A 19,005-nucleotide genomic window follows, 5' to 3' on the forward strand; every position below is an offset into this window, starting at 1 on the left:
TAGCCCCCACATCCAGTTTTCAGAGGCAGCACTGTATAGAGCTAAGGGCCAGGAGTAATGGAGTTGAAAGTCCAAGGTGAAGTATGAGTTCCCAGCACACCAGAGTGTTCCCAGGACCAGCTATGAGGCATGATGTTGGACATCACTGTAGGCTTCAAGTTTGTTCTCCAGCTGTGACTATTCTGTGAAAGATCCACTATGATTCCAGTGAAATTATATCTGCTTATATTAGCCAGAGTTGGTTTCTGCTCTTTGCAAATAAGACCCTGATTAATACTGTGCCTGTTCTGAATGGGTGATTTGACAGACTTTTGGGGGAGAAGTGCTCTTACTACCTGCATTGAATGCATTTCTCTGGAAGACATCCGAAGCCAGTACCAATCTGCCATGTACAGTTTGAGTACTTTGTTTTAGGTCTGAGCAGGAATAGCCCTGACTCTGCTTTGGCAAGCTACTTGCCATGCAGCATGTATCCAGTTCTGCTGTATTGTTTCAGTTTTCCCGGATAATAAATGACACAGCTGGGATTTATTCAGGTGTTCTGACTCCAAAGTCCTTGCTCCTGATCACCATGCGCTACCGACTTTGAGCAGTGATGTCTCACAGATGGGAATGATTCCTCTGAAGGTGAGTGGTCTCTTCGCGACTCTTCCAGATCACATCATTAATACGGTCTCTATATCGTCTGATTGGCTACCACCTACTGACAATTGCAATCAATTTGATTAGCAAGCTGTATGCATTATTGACATTTCTAATATCATCTGCCCAAACCGCCCTGCACCTTTCACATCATTAATGTGCTGCTCAAATCTTTGTACTTGCCCTTCATCATTGTATCTTTCACTAACTTACTTCCTCCCTCCAGAAAGAACAGCATGGTCTCAGCACCCTGTTCAGCCTGGTTCCCACCCCTGGAGTCATTGCTGCTCCCCTTCCTGCCTTCCAAAACTCCTGAAGTGCTTCTCTCATTGCTCAAGTTGGCTCTTTGCCAATCCCAACAAGTGGAATAACATAGTATTTTATAGTTCAGCTAGAAACTGCTTTTGAAATGGTGGGAGGTTTTGTGAAAAGAACAGACCCTTACACATGCAGAAGCATATCTGACTAGGTTGTTTTAACTGAGTAAGAGCTTACCACAAACAAAATGGACTTACTTTATCCACTTAATTTTGCACAGTATTCATAGCAGGAGGCATAGTTTTGTTTAAGCAGAATCTTGCTCGGCTGATGATTATTACTGGTTTGTGATCAGAAGACAAAACAATGGGTGTATCACTTGAAATACATAATAAGCCTCGAAAATTCTCCAAATCACTTCTCCTTTTTTTACAACATGCAGAATGAGAGATGAGACAGAGAGAGCAGTATCGTTGAAGATTAAACTACCATTGTCAGCTTCTTAATAGATACAGCTCATCACACAAATCATTAAACACATAGATTCCAGAAGAGCACATCTGTGTACTGCTTCAGCAACACACTGAAGGGAGAATAAAATATTTTCAAGGAAATTGACACCCCAAATGTTTATTTCAGTATTTCCATTTTTCTCTTCATTACTTTCTGTTTCAGAGAGAATAAGTTGAAAATTGTGATAGAAAATTGCAGATGTTTTCCAATAGCTTATTCTAAAATATTGATAGAATTTATAATGAAAATATTTTCCCTATTAGTGCCACCAAAACTAGCTAAGCAGATGATTATTTAATAAGTAAAAAGCCACACATATAGTCGGTTCACAGAAGCTACAGGTGCCAAAAAGGGTACAGGAGGGCTTGAGAAGGGGAAAGGAAGAAGTTTTTAAATGAAACTGAGAGCTGTAAAAATCAACCATTATAGGCGAGACCAAGCATCTATAAAAATAGCCCATTGTATGAAACAGCTTTTAAAAGCATTGCCCCTGAGACTGAGGACTTGTGGCTATAAAGACCTAGATGTATTTTTAGAAAATTGTGGCTATAATAGATTCCACTGCAATATAAGTTGCCTAGAAGAGATAATGTCATGATTGCTAAAAACAGCAGAAGGCAGAAGGTGAGAAAGACCAAGTGCCCTCCAGCAGTGTCCAGAGACACTAGGGCTGACTCCAAAGGTCAATTCTAGTCATGTAGCCAGAGATATCACTAGAGTAATGTGATCCTATAGGTGGCCAAAGCACGGTAGACATGTCTTTTAAGGATATCTGACTCCTTTCTAATTCTGTGCTTGCCAGTAGACTTTCTGACTGACAATTTGCTTTATGCATTGAAAAAGGAAGTTCTGTCTTGAGTTAAGGGATTAGGATTTGTTGCCTTGTCAAATACAGATTTGAACATAAACTGGCAATCTAGTGTGTAAACACTAGTCTTTAGAATGTTGACCATTGTAAATCGGTTTCTACTTCCTAATTACTTCTTGGTGAACTAGTAAATATTTGTTGTTGCATCAGCAAAGCTGTAAGCTAGACACTGAGCTAGTGTTCCTACCCAATACTGGGATAAAGACCTGAATTATGAAATTCCCATCTGAAAATCCCATAAAACTCTACAGAACAGCCTACTTCAGTATCTGTTGTAATGAGTATTCAGTCAATTAATTTGTTTATTTTTCCAGCTTGGAAAGACATGTGTTATTTAAATGAAGTTGAAATTTTGTGACTTGAATCTGCAAAATTCACAAAATGACAAACTAGTATAAACATGTGAAGACTCTGATCCTCATGTAAATATGTATTGTAAATTTAGGAATATAATTATCACTGAAGAAATAAAAGTTTTACAAGTCCCATGCTTTTTCTTCATAAACCTTTTACAATAAGAAGGGATACATAATTATGAATTTTAATTCAGACCTCAATCTTCCAAGTACTGATTTTTACACACTGCTAGTCACATTAGCAAACTGATCTTTAGAACAAGATTTTGATCAATTTTATTTTTTGATTTTCAGATGGGAATCTCATAATTCAGTTCTTTATCCCAAGTAAAATTGTAAGGCATAAGCAAATTATTCCAATATTCCTTTATTTTTATCTAACAATCTTAGTTACACTATTATGTGCCACTTCTGCCTGTTTAAATATAGTGCTAAACAAAACACTCAGATTAATGGGTTTTTTGAACATTAAACTCTATTGAGGGGAATGGGAGATGGACAATAAGTAAACAAGATGATTTCAAGACTATGACAATAAGTAAACAAGATGATTTCAAGGCTATGCATCAAATAAAACAAGGTAACACAATTAGAGTGATGTGTGTGTGTATGCATGCATGTGCACACTCATATGTGTGTTTGGGGATGTCTCTTTAGATTGAATAGAGAATGCCACCATGTGAAGTGATATTTGAGCTGGAACCTGAGTGAATGATGGAATGGAGAAGTCAGGTACAGAGCTGTGGGGATAGCATCACAGGTAGGTGGGATAGGACAGGCAAACCTCCGGAGGTGGGAGCAGAATTGGTGCATTGGCTGTGGTACCTTTCCATGATTTCCTCATTCCAGTGTTCATATCTTTAGAAGATCTCAACCCATTGATTGTAGGTGATATCTGTGATTTACTCTAGCCAATCTATATAACATGACAAAAATGATGGATGTCACTCCTGTAATTATTTTATGTGATGATCCATCTTGCTATCAGACTTACTGTAGTCTCTCTATCCCTCTGCTGTCGGCTTTAAAAAAGTAAGCTTCCATGACTCCTACAGCCACAAGAAACTGAGTGCTTCCAAAACCACGCCAGTGGGAAACAACACTTCCCTAGTTGAACCTTCACATGAGAACCCAGTCCTGGCCAACCCCTTGTTTGCAGCCCTATGAGACACTATGCAGAGCACCCAGCTAAGCTAAATATCATACAGAAATGATGAGATAATAGATATGTGGCTGTAAGTTGTTAAGTTTCTACTCATTTGCTACAGAGCACAGAAAACAAACAAATGGCCCGGGAGCCAAGAATACACATTTGGTTTGTAGGTAGTGATCCAGTGGGAGAGAAGGTGACGTAGAGGGGTAACTACATAGAACCTTAGGCCATAGTAAGGAAACTGGATTTTATTTTAAGTGTGTTAGAAAGTCATTGGAGCTATGTAAGCAGTAGAGATTGGCTTGGATTAAGGTAGTAGGAATGGAGTGTGGTGACAAAGAAGAAGAGTCAGGAAAAAGTTTGAATGCAGAGTTCACCAAATCCTAGCTATGTGGATTCAGCAACCGGAACTACAGTGATGCCTTTACTGAAATGGAGAACTCAAGAGAGGTAAAGCTAGGTGACTCAGGTGAAACAAACAGAGAAAGGACAAAATCAGGTGGTATTTTGACATGTCCAATTTCAGATGTCAATTACATATTCGGGGGGAAATGTCAAGGAAGCCATTGAATAAACAGATCTGGAACTCAGTATCAGTTATACATATTTGGAAGTAGTTGGAATACTGGCTGTAGTTAAAAATAGGAATGGGATGAAAATCATCGAGGGAGGAAGTGTTAATGTGCTATATAATTAAAACAATGAAATCAACATAGAAACTTTCTTCTAACAATGAAAACAGAGAATTTTGCTTTGCCAATGTTTAAACCAGTAGGCTATTATCACTATGTTCAATAGCATATGTAAAATATAAAATAAATATTTAATAGCAGGGGTGATGTAGATGTAGTAAAACCAAGTTCCACAGCAGCCCTCTTTTTGGCCAGCTCCTACATGGGACATACATTCCCACAGCCCCCTCACCACTGCCTCTTCATTCTACTTGAGCCATTGATCTAGCCCCAAGGAACCTACTCTATTGGCTGACCTTCACCCTTTACTGGTTTTAAGTAATCTTTTACCTTCCAGGTTTTCAGACATTAGTAATACCTGTTCAAATACACTTTTAATTTAGTAGTTAGAAATTATTACTTCCAAAATAAAATTAGCTGATGGAATACACTTAAACTTTATCCTTTGTTTCAGTCTAATCAGGCTGCTATAACAAAATACCACAAAATGGTGGCTTATAAATAACAAAAAATTATTTCTCATAGTTCTGGAGGCTGAAAAGCCCAGGATCAAAGTGCGGCAGATTTGTTATCTGCTGAAGGTCCACTTTTCTATTTCATAGATGACACCTTCTTGCCACATCCTCATGTGGTAGAAGGGACAAAGGTCTCTCTGAGGCCTCTTTTATAAGGGCACTAATCCCATTCATGAGGGTGCTGCCCTTGTGATCTAATCACCTCCCAAATTTCACACTTTCTAATCTAATCATTTTGGGAGTTACTATTTCAACGTGAATTTTGAAGGAACAGAAACATTTAGAGCACAGCACCCTCTCTTATACTTTAGATGTAGTAATGCTAACACATGACAATCAGTTTGGCATTATGGACTATAGTTGAAGAGGCAAATAAGTTGATAATAATAAATTAAGATTCTACAAAGGCAGGATTGACTTAGTTAAAGGATACAAACCGATAACCCTCACTGAGTTTTTACTGCAGGATTTCTCACTTCTCAATAGTAAATCTTATCTTTCTTTCATGAGGATGAAAAACCTAGAGCTTATGAGTGCCTCAGGCAAGTGAGTTTGAAGGTCTTCTTTGGATTGAATGAAAGATAATAATCAAAATCTAGGTCAAGATATTATTTATTCTATAGAGAATTGTTTAAGCTAATGTTTTAAATTTAAGTCATAACACATTTTAATATATGATTCATACAATGCCGATCAAATATTCTTAATGACTGCACACGTTATAATCTTATTCTGACTATTTAACTTTGAGAAACGTCCTAACATCAAGTAGTATAGCCATTAAATTATCATGACAAAGATATCAAACTTCCTTCATTGTATCTATTTCTCAAGACATATGTATGAGCTATGTGTCTGAAAGCTTTAGAAACTTCAGTATACCTTTTCAGAAAGAAAATGAAAACAAAGGGTTTATGGTAGATACACTGAAACAGAATGCAAAAAAAGGTGAAGAAAAAGGATCTAGTTTGAGACATAACAAGGAAAGCTTCCCCTCAGAGAACCAGAATTAAGTCACTGATAGTTGTTATTAGCAATAGCACAGGTTATTAAAATTTTTAATAATTATTTAAAAATATAAGAAGTGAAAAAATGATAAACAGCAAAACGTTATAAAATGGTGAATAATTGATAGGGAATAAAGATAATTATCCATCATGAATACTTTTCCTAGGAGAAAATAAACTATATTGTATATGATTTACGTTTCAACAAAATGACTCCAGTTTGTGTTAGATAACTAGTAAATATTTGGTATTTAAGAGTATGTAAATATACTACATTAAGGGTTTACTTTAAAAGTTTCTTTGTCTTATCATTTCATTCATACAGTTGGTTATGAGCACTGGTTATATATAAAGAAACACGCATCCTACCATCTGTGAATTTAGGATAAAGTCAAAGTGAGTCCCAGCTCTCTGCTGAAAATAATGAAAACAGAACAAAATTGTATTCTCTTCTTACAGACTTCACATAGCAATAGGACTATTTGGAAAAATATTATAATAAGGTGTTAGGTAGAAATAGCATATTTGAGTGATCTTACAATAAGTTAGAGTTATATCAGAACAAATGTTTGAGTTATGTTACAATAAGAGTTAGCACTGCATACCCTAAAGTCTAGAGACGGGGTTGGATATGATAGCCAGGTCTCTGAACTGTGGGGATTAGGAGTTATTCACTATGAAATTATACTTCCCGTAATGAGGATGGAAGAAAAGTCCACTTCTGATTATCACTTAAAAACTAAGGGGAGTGAAGCATGAGAAGAGCAATTGACTGGAGTTCTATAAGGAAAGGTGGATCATGTGAGGGAGCATGGGATTATTGAGAGCAAGTCAGATTTCTGGCTCCGTTTTATGACCAAAAACTGCATTTACCTTCCAACCAGCTTCCTTATAAAATGATGACTAATGGCCACAAGGAGGCTAGACAGGTGTCAGAAATCTTATTTGCCAATGAATTTCTATAATTGTCAGTGGCTCAATAGTACCAGGGAAATTTTCTAGGCAAATGGAGAACATCTAGTCCAAATTATCAAGACTACTAATGATTAGTCTTGATTTAGACTAATAATGATTAGTCTTGATTTCCCATGTAGAGGAAATCAAGGTCCAAAAAGATGATGATAGGGTTTGGCTGTATCCCCACTCAAACCTCATCTTGAATTGTACTCCCATAATTCCCATGTGTTGTTGGAGGGACCCAGTGGGAAATAATTTGAATCATGGGGGGCAGTTTCCCCCATACTGTTCTTATGGTAGTGAATAAGTCTCATGAGACCTGATGGTTTGATCAAGGGTTTCTGCTTTTGCATCTTCCTCATTTTCTCTTGCTGCTGCCATGTGAGAAGTGCCTTTCACCTCCCGCCATGATTCTGAGGCCTCCCCAGCCATGTTCAACTATAAGTCCAATTAAAGCTCTTTTTCTTCCCAGTCTCAGGTATGTCTTTATCAGCAGCACAAAAACAGACTAATACAGTAAATTGGTACCAGTAGAGTGGGTTGTTCCTGAGAAGATACCCAAAAATGTGGAAGCAACTTTGGAACTGGGTAACAGGCAGAGGTTGGGACAGTTTGGAAGGTGGCTCGGAAGACAGGAAAATGTGGGAAAGTTTGGAACTTCCTAGAGACTCGTTGAGTGGCTTTGCCCAAAATGCTGATAGTGATATGGACAATAAAGTCCAGGCCAAGGTAGTCTCAGATGGAGATGAGGAACTTGTCGGGAACTAGAGCAAAGGTGACTTTTTTTATGTTTTAGCAGAGACACTGGCAGCATTTTGCCCCTGCCCTAGAGATCTGTGGAACTTTGAACTTGAGAGAGATAATTTAGAGTATCTGGCAGAAGAAATTTCTAAGCAGCAAAGCATTCAAGAGGTGACTTGGGTGCTGTTAAATGCATTCAGTTTTACAAGGGAAACAGCATAAAAGTTTGAGAAATTTGCAGCCTGACAATGCAATAGAAAAGAAAATCTCATTTTCTGAGGAGAAATTCAAGCCAGCAGCAGAAATTTGCATAAGTAATGAGGAGCCAAATGTTAATCCCCAAGACAATGGGGAAAATGTCTCCAGGGCATGTCAGAGGTCTTCATAGCAGCCCTTTCCATCACAGGCCCAGGGACCTAGAAGGAAAAAGTGGTTTTGTGGGCTGGGCATGGGGTCCCTGAGCTGTGTGCAGCCTAGCAACCTGGTTCCTGGCATCCCAGCCACTCCAGCCATGGCTTAGAGGGGCCAGTGTAGAACTTGGGCCATGTCTTCAGATGATGCAAGCCCCAAGCCTTAGCAGCTTCCATGTAGAGTTGAGCCTGCCAGTGCACAGAAGTCAAGAATTGAGGTTTGGGAACCTCTGCCTAGATTTCAGAAGATGTATGGAAACGCCTGTATGCCCAGGCAGAAGTTTGCTGCAGGGGTGCATCTCTCATGGAGAACCTCTGCTAGGGCCCTGCAGAAGGGAAATGTGAGGTTGGAGACCCCACACAGAGTCCCTACTGGGGCACCACCTAGTGCAGCTGTGAGAAGAGGGCCACCATCCTCCAGACCCCAGAATGGTAGATCCACCTACAGTTTGCACTGTGTGCCTGGAAAAGCCACAGACACTCAACACCAGCCTGTGAAAGCAGCTGGGAGGGAGACTCTACCCTGCAAAGCCACAGGGGTGGAGCAGCCCAAGACCATGGGAATGCACTTTTGCATCGGCATGACCTGGATGTGAGACCAGGAGTCAAAACAGATCATTTTGGAGCTTTGAAATTTGACTTCCCCACTGGATTTTGGACTTGCATGGACCCTATAACCCCTTTGTTTTGGCCAATTTCTCCCATTTGGAACAGCTGTATTTACCCAATACCTGTACCCCCATTGTATCTAGGAAGTCACTAGCTTGCTTTTGATTTTACAGGCTCATAGGCAGAAGGGACTTGCCTTGTCTCAGATGAGACTTTGAACTGTGGACTTTATGCTTAAATGAGTTAAGACTTTGGGGAACTGTTGGGAAGGCATGATTGGTTTTGAAATGTGAGGACATGAGATTTGGAGGAGCTGGGGGTGGAATAATATGGTTTGGCTTTGAGTTCCCACCCAAATCTCACCTTGAATTGTACTCCCATCATTCCCATGTGTTGTGGGAGGGACCCCATGGGAGAGACCCAGTGGGAGATACTTTGAATCATGGGGGCAGTATTCTCCATACTGTTATCATGCTAGTAAAGAAGTCTCATGAGATCTGATGGTTTTAGCAGGGATTTCTGCTTTTGCATCTTCCTCATTTTCTCTTGCCACTGCCATATAAGAAGTGCCTTTCACCTCCCACCATGATTCTGAGGTCTCCCCAGCCATGTGGAACTGTAAGTCCAATTAAACCTCTTTTTCTTCCCAGTCTCGGGTATATCTTTATCATCAGCATGAAAACAGACTAATACAGATAAAATAATTATCCAGAAATAGCAAGAAGCAGAAGAATGCAGGCCAGCTTAGTCTTGCAAAGGCAGGGCTCTCTCCAAAACACTACAAGAAGGACAATATCTTATCTCCTCTTCAGAGACAAGATAGATCATTGAAATTCACAAATAAGCCCCAAACTGCTTTTTCAGCCAATATGTCCAACTTTCCCCCAAGCTAAATCACAGTAAATCAGAGAGAAATAATATTACATAATTGATTTGAGTTTTATCTTCTTTTATTTCATCTTTATTTCTTGTAAAGTTGCTAATGAGCAATAAAATGGCCAAAAATCAGAAAAGAAGAGAAAGCAAAGGATGTAGAAAACCCACAAAATGACTAATCAGCCCCAATGTAACTGAGTATTAATAGTAACATATTTATCTAGTGCAGATCAAAAGCTTTCATCATGTTCTAAAATCTCAAAGAACTCAAGTAAATCAGGATCTAGTAGAATAATTTCTCTGGAATATAATGACTTGCCAGTCTCTCCCAGACTGTGCTGAAGCTTTATTATCTGAAACTTAGGTACTATTATCCTTATCACAAAAGACATAGTTGGAACTGAAAATAAAAATGGTCTTACCCATGAGTTGTTCCCTTACATTATTCCATTTGTCTGTTTTCTACACTGAACAACTACAGACAGCAGAGTATATTTAAGTAGAAGAGAGGAAGGGTGACACATCTTCCTTCCCATTTGTGTGCACATGCATGCACATGCACATACCCACACAGACACACACACACACTCCTGAGGAGTAATTAGTTCCTTCTGCAGTGTTGTCATTCAATTTACACCAATATATACAAATGCCAAAGGGCAAAGAGCCTCAAGAGTATTTTCCTTAGTTTGTTAACTTATCCCCACTGTCTTTTCCAGGCTCACAGCCTCATCCCCGGGATGTTAGAGAGCCTCCTGTGGCCACTGCTGAGTGCCTCTCTGGACTCTTTTTCCTAGCTCTGCTCTCCCAGTCCTACATGGTCCTAACCCATTGAGCTTTAAAACCATTTTTCTCCTGCCCATCCAAGTGACTGCCTGCTATTGTGACCCAGCCTCTACCCCAAGTTATCAGTCATTTTATACTCCACTTGTTTCCCCTGCCAGCAAAGAGAAGGAGGGATTTTCTAATTCTCAAGGAATGTGTAGAGGGGCTGAGGAGGAGAAAGAGACTCCCTCAAAGTGTCTGGCCTTAAGGAAGAATATCTGAAAAAAATCAGCCCCATTCTTCCTGCAAAGAAGAATCTTCTGATGTCTCTTCTCCTATGTCTGCAAGAGTATCTGTCTCCTTCTTATCTGTTTTAGGTGCAGATTTTAGGAAAGGTGGGCAGAATGTAAGAGTAGAAAATAGGTTATTCCCCAAACAATCTATTTCTGTGTGTTTTTGAGAATTGAAGTTCTCTTTGTTTAAAAATCTCTGTAAGTCAATCTATTAGGATAGTGTTATATAACTCAATATCAACTCATTAGCAGAAAGAGATAAAGTGAATAGATTTAATTTTACTAAGCAGATATGGTCATATTAAATGCCTTATTTGGGACCCTGGGGTACATCAGTGTAGGGTCAAAGATCCACTGTGTGTTTCTGACTTTGCACAAAGGCTCCTAAGTGGAAGAGGCATGAGGAGGGATGAGGTCTAGCTTGTTTTTACTTGTCTGCCTTGTGCCCTAGCAAGGGCTACAATTTTTAAAGAAAAGGGTGACTTATTTTGTCACACAAAGGCACCTTTTGCTGGTCAAGCCAGTGGGATGCCACCATGCAGAGGGAGTGCCTTTTTTCAAATCGATCTGCCCAGAGCAAAGGCTCTCAGTAGGATGGCCAGGGCTCTAGCTCAGCATCACTTCTCTGCTCATTTTATGAACATAGAAATAATTTTAACATCTTTAAATGAAGAAATGGCATCGACAGTGATGTTTAAGCTTTCTTTAGTAGTAGAATCATCTCTTTAAGTGAATTCTGATAAGCTTCATGTCTAAATCAGAGCTACTCTGGTTAAATTCTGCATGGGGTTCTGGCTTTTCCCTCTTCCCCAAAACTATGATTTGTTATGAACTGTAGTTTAAGAATTTCTTTGTTCCAAGTTATTTTTTAATAAAGCATCAGATGGTTTAAACTAAAGCAAAATAAATTTATAGCAGAGAGTTAGTCAAAGTTTCCTCTCACATGCCCAAAGCATTTACCACTTTCCAAATGTACAAAATACCTTGGTAATTATTTGTCATTTGTGATTCCCCTCTTCTCATGTTTTTAAAATTTTGCAAAGTCTGAGACTGTAAAAATAGTCACTTTGCTTGCATGAAATGGTGGCACCAAGCTGAGGATCAAAAAATCATTATCTATTTTATGACAAGTTATGAAACAAATGACATCCTGGGTTCTTTATAATTTTAATACAGGCTCCTTCGTTTACCTTGCAGTTTTATGTTTCACAGGGTGACAAAGTACACTTTGTGTGCATGTTTTAGGTGGCACAAGTGCATATCGATGCTGCACAAAACACATCTTAAGATGAAATTCTTAAGATACAGATTATTCTAAATTCCTTTCAATCCAGTCAAATTCCTTCTAGTTCTGTGTAGAAAAGTATGGGACTTTAAAAGGAGACTTTATCTATAAAATATTTATTATATTTACCTTTTTAGAATATTCATCTGTTTTAAGCCTTCTATTTAAAAGTTAATATTCTGATTTTTTTTTTTCCTCTCAGGTTGTGATGATTAATTTTATGTGTCAACTTGGCTAGGCCATGGCATCCAGATATTTGGTCCAATACCAGTCTAGATATTGCTGTGAAGGCGTTTTTTAGATAAGATTGACATTTAAATCAATAGGTCTTTTTAAAAAAGATAATACAGGTTTTTATTTTATTTGTTTATTTTTGGTTCTATGGCTAGCAAAGTTATTTTATTTTGTTTTAATCAACAAGAAATTGTATATATATAATTGTATATGTTTATGTATAATCATATATATTTATATACACATATATAATTGTATATATTTATATACACATATATAATTGTATATATTTATATACACATATATAATTGTATATATTTATATATACATATATAATTGTATATATTTATATATACATATATAATTGTATATATTTATATATACATATATAATTGTATATATTTATATATACATATATAATTGTATATATTTATATATACATATATAATTGTATATATTTATATATACATATATAATTGTATATATTTATATATACATATATAATTGTATATATTTATATATACATATATAATTGTATATATTTATATATACATATATAATTGTATATATTTATATATACATATTTATGTATATTGTATATATACAATATGATGTTTTAAATGTAAGCTTTTATTTCTTTTTTATTTTTGGGAATTTGATTTTTTCCTTTTATTTTTAGATGACACACAATAATTGTACATATTTATGGGATAAAGAGTGATATTTTGATAGGTGTATACAATATGTCATGATTCAAATTAGGGGGATTCATATATCTGTCACCTCAAACAGTTATCATTTGCACTGTGAACATTCAAAATCCTCTTTTAGCTTTTTGAAAACATGTGATAAATTTCAGTTAACCATATTTACCTTCCAGTGCTGCAGAACCTGAGAACTCACTCCTCCTATCTAGCTGTAATTTTGTATCTGTTGGACAACCTCTTCCCATCCTCCCTGCCCACTATCCTTCGAGCCTCTAATACCCACAATTCTACTCTCTACTTCCATGAACTCGGATTGCTTTTTAGCTCCGACATATGAGTGAGAATAAGTAGTATTCATCTTACCGTGCTTGACATTTCACCAAACATACTGTCCTCCAGGCTCATCCATATTGCCACAAATGACAGGATTTCATTGTTTCTTAAGGCTGAATAGTATTCCATTGTGTATACCACGTTTTCTTTATCCATTATTCTGTCAATGGACACTTAGGTTGATTCCATGTCTTAGCTATTGTGAATAATGCTGCAATAAATATGGGGGTGAATGTATCCTTGTGATATATTGTAAATCAGTAGGCTGAGTAAAGCAAGTTACCTCATCCTGTCAATTGAAGGCATATATGATACACAGTATAGGAAAAAAAGACAAACTGGTTTCTCCTACTATATGCTCAACACCACACTTCTTGTTACCAAAATGTGTGGGCTTTTATATCCCCAACAAGCAATTCTCCAGCAGACATCAACCAGGTGTCCTATAATTCAAGTCGATTCTGATACTACTGACCTGGAGTTAGAGACAGATCCCATAGGTTAAGGGCCAGTCCCATAAAACTTCCCCCAACTTCAGATACCAATCATAAATCGAGTCCTCTGGAGCTTCTGATCAACTGGCTATAAGTTGGGGTTCCCATGGCCCCACCTCAGGTTTGATCGCTTGCTGCAGTGACTCACAGAACTCCAGAAAAAACACTTTACTTATGTTTACCAGTTTATTCTAAAGCATGCAGAGTCAGATGGAAGAGATGCAAAGGGCAAGGAATGTGGGAAGGGGTGCAAAGCCTCCATGCCCTCTCTGGGTGCACCACCCTCCAGGAATCTCCAGGTGTTCAACAACCTGGAAGAAAGTTCTTCAAACCCCACAGGTTAGGGAGTTTTATGAAGGCTTCATTATGGAGGCATGATAGATTATTAACTCAATCTCCAGCCCTTCTCCCCTTCCTGGAGGATAAGGGTGAGGGTTAGGGCTAAAAGTTCCAAGCTTATAATCATGGCTTAGTCTTTCTGGTGACCAACCCCCATCCAAGAGTCCACCAAGAGTCACCTAACTAGAACAAAAGACACTCCTGTGTCCCAGAAAATTCCAAGGGATTAGGAACTCTGTGTCAGGAACCAGGATCAAACACCAAATATTAGAACTATTAGAACAAAAGATTCTCTTAGCAACCCTATTGCTCAGGAAACGACAATGGTTTTAGGAGCTTTGTGTCAGGAACCAAGGATGAAGACCAAAATCTATATTTCCTATTAATCACAGTATCACACACACATGCACACACACACACGTATTCACTCATTCTGTGCGTTCTGTTTCCCTGGAGAATGCTAATATACAGGTTCTCATTCTGGCCTGGCACACACTCTTACTTACCCTTGCTTTCACAGAGAAGACCACTGAAATTCCCGTGGAGGCCATGTCAACGTTTCTTTTAAGTTGTATAAATATAAGCATCTCTTATTAATTGCTGTTGATTAGCCAAAAGGCAAATACTTAATTAAACATTGAGAGATAATAAAATTGCACATGAATTATCTATCTAAGAGCACATAGGTCCGTACATTTCATTAAGATGGTTTAACTAATAATCATGTCTCTTACACCCAGTCCTTGTTTGAGCAGATAGATTGTTTTAAAAAAAGAAAAAAGTTCCCTAGAGGGAGGGTGTTGTTTTTGTTAAAGTCATATGTTTGTTGTTTTGTATTTACTTTTCTATTCATCCATGTTCTTTTAGAAGCACTGTTGATTTCACCACAGATAAATATTTTGTTTGCTATTCTTGAATATGTATACTCAAGGGGAGTTATTGACCAGTTTGAATGACAACGAAGCCTTTACAAAGAAAAGATTTAGCTAGTGGGTGAGCAAAATTCAGTTCTCCACTGTTTGTCATACATCCTTCTATTTCATAGAGCTTTTCTTGGTGCTGTTGTCTGTGGATTTACAAGGGGCAAAAAGAGTGGCTTGCACTTTTGAGTGTTTACTTAAGACACAGACTTTAATTTGGATATGGGCTGGGCGTGATGGCTCACACCTGTAATCCCAGCACTTTGGGAGGCCGAGGCAGATGGATCACCTAAGGTCAGGAGTTTGAGACTAGCCTGGCCAAAATGGTAAAACACTGTCTCTACTAAAAATACAAAATTAGCCGGGCGGGGTGGTGCACACCTGTAATCCTAGCTACTCGAGAGGCTGAGGCAGGAGAATCACTTGGACCTGGGAGGTGGAGGTTGCAGTGAGCCGAGAGCACACATTGCACTCCAGCCTGGGTGACAAGAGCGAGAATCTGTCTCAAAAAAAAAAAAAATTGGTTATGAAACCAAAGGGCTATTTTGATCAGAACTGCCTGCCCTGCTTGCTTTTGGTCACTTGTTTTTTTGTCACGTTTTTTCCTTTCTCCATGAAACTGAAGGCCATGGTAGCTAAAGGCCTCCCCACTGAATGCTGAAACTTAACTTTCCCTGGCTACTTTATAGATACCATTTATAGGTCACCATAGTAATGGTTGCTTCCGTTGTTTTTAGGGAACTTAGGCCAGCTCCTGTCCAGTCTAACTGGTTGAGACCACTGACCCTTCAACTTGGCCTGTGGCAAGTGCCCAAGAGGTGGCCTTTTGTTATCCGAGGGCTGAAACCTCTTCCTTGGATCATCCTAATGCCACCATTTTCTGTACATATGTCCTAAGAACTGCCATAAACTCCAACTATGCTTGTCCAAAATGAACCTGTTACCTCATTGTTCCCCATTGCTAGTCATCTTTTTTCACGTCTTACATCACCCCACTTCCCCAAACCATAAAGATCCCTAAGCCTTATCCCGGGGGAGGCAGATTTGAGAGCTATTTTCCCACCCTCCTCCCTTCCCCACCACATGTCAGTCTTGTGAGCACATCTTTTCTCTTTTGCAAAACCTATATCACAATGATTGATTTACTGCACACAGGCAGAACTGACCTGGACCTGGCCTGTAACAGTTACTTCAAGAAGCAGGAAAAAAACCTAAATGTTTCTACTGTTTACTACCCAGGACTGAACAGAAGTAGCTGTGCAACCACCACTAGAAGCCTTCTGAGCGTGTTACTGAAGAGGATGAGGCAGGAGGCTTCCAGAGGCAACAGCCAAGACTAAGCCATCAACCACAGGGCCAAACCCAGTAAAAAAGAAAAATAAGAACACTTCCACTTAAAGAACTGCTGCAATTATACTGTTCCTTTTTTTTTTCCATTAACATGTCTTTCCTTTTATGATGGCGAGAGTTAATATTAAGGTGTGCATATATGTTTGTTAAACGATCTCATTTTGCAATTAAAAGTTTGCACTTATATTAATACATTGGTTCTACTATTTCTTTTAAAAATATGTTTGAAATTTTCTGTCTTATAAAATCCCATTGGCTGAGAAATATCAGCCTACCTACATACAGGTTTCTTGCTTATGTTTGATGCTGCAGCTTCCCAATTCTAGCCACTCTTCCTCTGATGTTGCAAGAGTGTGTTTCTATGCAATGGAGAACACATGATTGTTATCTTTATGGTGCAGGTGGTTGATCTCTGAGACCAGATGGCAGATGGCACAACAGGAGTCCTTGACACAAAGCTGTTAAAGAATATGTTCTCCTTTAATGAAATGGAGCTAGAATGGCTCAGGAAATTGTGCACGCAAATTTCACTAGCACTGAGTTTGTTTCTTATCTTAAATGAGATCAGTAGGAAAACCAAGGCTGTGCTCTATAGATGGACTATAAGGATTGTTTACACAGCATGGGCCAGTGTCTGGGGCTGCAGATTGAGGAGAATTACACCATTAACTGGGCTGAAAAAGACCCTTATAAGGCTCTGAGTTGCCTTATAAGGCAACTCACTCTAGCATAGAGTTACTTTGCATTGTTTCTCTAATTCTGCATGCTACTCCAGCTGTATTGATAATGAAGACAAACATGGCATAGACATATTTAAAGCCATTTTGAACATATGATCCAAAGGATTACCTATAAGAATAATGCTCAGAAAAAAGATCACCTAAACTTGTTCTAGTACAAAGCTACTAATTTTATAGGTTAGTTGTTTTTATTGGCCACCTCAGGTTTACTTTACAAATTTACATTGTGTTGTTGAAATGCCTAATGTGGTAACTCTTTTTATTGTCATAGTCATAACATCCTTGAGACTCATTCCTGAATTTGTTTATTCACTTGTTCCTTTTTGTTTCTTTTATGGGTCAGGCATTGTGCTATGTACTGGAGACACCTAATTAAACAAGTGTAATGCAGTAAGCAAGTGTGGGAAATTCCAGACAGGGGCAAGCTGGAAGAGTTAAGGGCTAGTATGCATGGCCAGATTAATGTTTCACAAAAGAAAACCAATCCTAATCATCACCCTCTTTTTGCTCTTCTTCGTATCTGCCTTAGGCATGCCTACCATCTAATGCTAACTTCCCTTTCCTTTCTTTCCTGCTCAAGAACATGGTAAGTTTGAAATCATGAGAAATTCTGACTGTTTTAAATCAGGGGCTTAATAGAGAAGTGGTGATTTATTAGCACTGCTGAAACACCATTTATTGATTTAAGACTTTTAGAGAAACTGCTGCTAAGTTATCTGGTTCTCCTTTGAATGGAAACTCCAAACAACCACAGTGGTAGCAAATACATAAATGTGAAAATAGAGGCTTAGTTGGAACATTGGAGTGAAGACTGAAGAGGGCTGGATGTAAAAGCTTGGGCAACACCTAAGCAGGCTGATTTAAACACAATTCCAAAATTGCTACTAGCAGAGAAGACCAGAGTGAGCCCAAATGAAACCTGTGACCAGCTGAGAGCCCCTCAAGTTAAATGCAGAGACTTTTATTCTTGTGTGCAGTTATTTAGACTGAAAATGGAAACGTGCAACTGTGAGGCAGATCTCATTCATGCATAATTGAAACACCCAAGGGTAAAATACTGAGGCACAATGGATGACATTTGATAAAAAGAGAGCAAGGAAAAAGAAGAAGTTAAAAACAAGATACAAGACCCTGGGGACCACAGAGAAGAATACCTGACATAGGCCAAATAATCTCAAATAAAAATATCCATATTACCACACAATGTAAATATAAAGACAAATGCATGGAAGAGACATGAGGATTGGGTAGGGAAAATGTCTAGAATATGAAACATTCAAGGGATGAGTCACTGGTGAATGAAACTCTTATTCTAACTAAATGCAAACCAAAGTACTTATATAGTATTTTCAAATACATAGGAACTAAGAACAAGCACAAGATTCACTGTCTTTAAAAAAGTTATATTGTAAGTTACTGTATTATATATGTCTATTCATACATGTAACTATGTAGCATATGTATGCATAAATATTTAAAATTTCTTTAACTTACTGGGAGAGAAATGGTATGTGTGCATATGTGAATATGGATGTAGTTGACTTCTTAATTGTGCGGGATAAATTCCATTTTGTTGGGGAAATTTGCAGGAAAGATTTGCAATAAGTATTTTAAGAATGAAAATGATGAGCTGAGAAACAATGGGCAATTAATGCAGTTGTCTTGGCTATTTTTCTTGGCAAAGTCACAGGTGGTTTAATGAGCATTTATAATGCATTAGGCACAATACTAGATACTCTGGACTATCCCATTTAACCTTCTGAGAAGAATCCCCAGAGAAGAAATTATTACTCTCATTTTAGGATGGCGATTCTGAGGCTCACAGAAGTTAAGTCCCATAATCTTGTCTGAATCCAATCCAAACTCTTCCCATCACACGCTTGCTCCATTCCCTTTGAGAGATGAAAGGGGAAGGCTGAATAAAAAAGTCCTCAGTGCACCATTTCCA

General features: G+C 38.2%; 1 long non-coding RNA gene across 3 annotated transcripts in view, besides 1 other annotated feature; it reads left to right on the forward strand.

The window, feature by feature from the left end:
- The window catches only part of TTC29-AS1 (TTC29 antisense RNA 1), a 41,452-nt gene extending 24,945 nt beyond the window's left edge, over positions 1-16,507 (forward strand). Inside the window, exons 5-7 of one of the 3 annotated variants that reach the window (NR_188445.1) lie at positions 497-627; positions 3,295-3,397; positions 16,207-16,507. This is a non-coding gene — a long non-coding RNA (TTC29 antisense RNA 1). The remainder of the gene's footprint in view (positions 1-496; positions 628-3,294; positions 3,398-16,206) is intronic. The other 2 variants (NR_188447.1, NR_188446.1) reach the window with 2 other exon arrangements.
- Positions 204-1,403: an enhancer, noted in NCBI's record as "BRD4-independent group 4 enhancer chr4:147880304-147881503 (GRCh37/hg19 assembly coordinates)". NCBI's record gives its function as "activates an origin of replication core promoter dependent on BRD2, P300/CBP, MED14 and CDK7 cofactors, and independent of BRD4, by STARR-seq in HCT116 cells {active_cell/tissue: HCT116}" and the evidence as "EXISTENCE:reporter gene assay evidence [ECO:0000049][PMID:35650434]".
- Positions 16,508-19,005: the final 2,498 nt, after the last annotated feature.

Source organism: Homo sapiens, chromosome 4 (genome assembly GCF_000001405.40).
Source record: "Homo sapiens chromosome 4, GRCh38.p14 Primary Assembly".
Taxonomy (NCBI): Eukaryota; Metazoa; Chordata; class Mammalia; order Primates; family Hominidae; genus Homo; species Homo sapiens.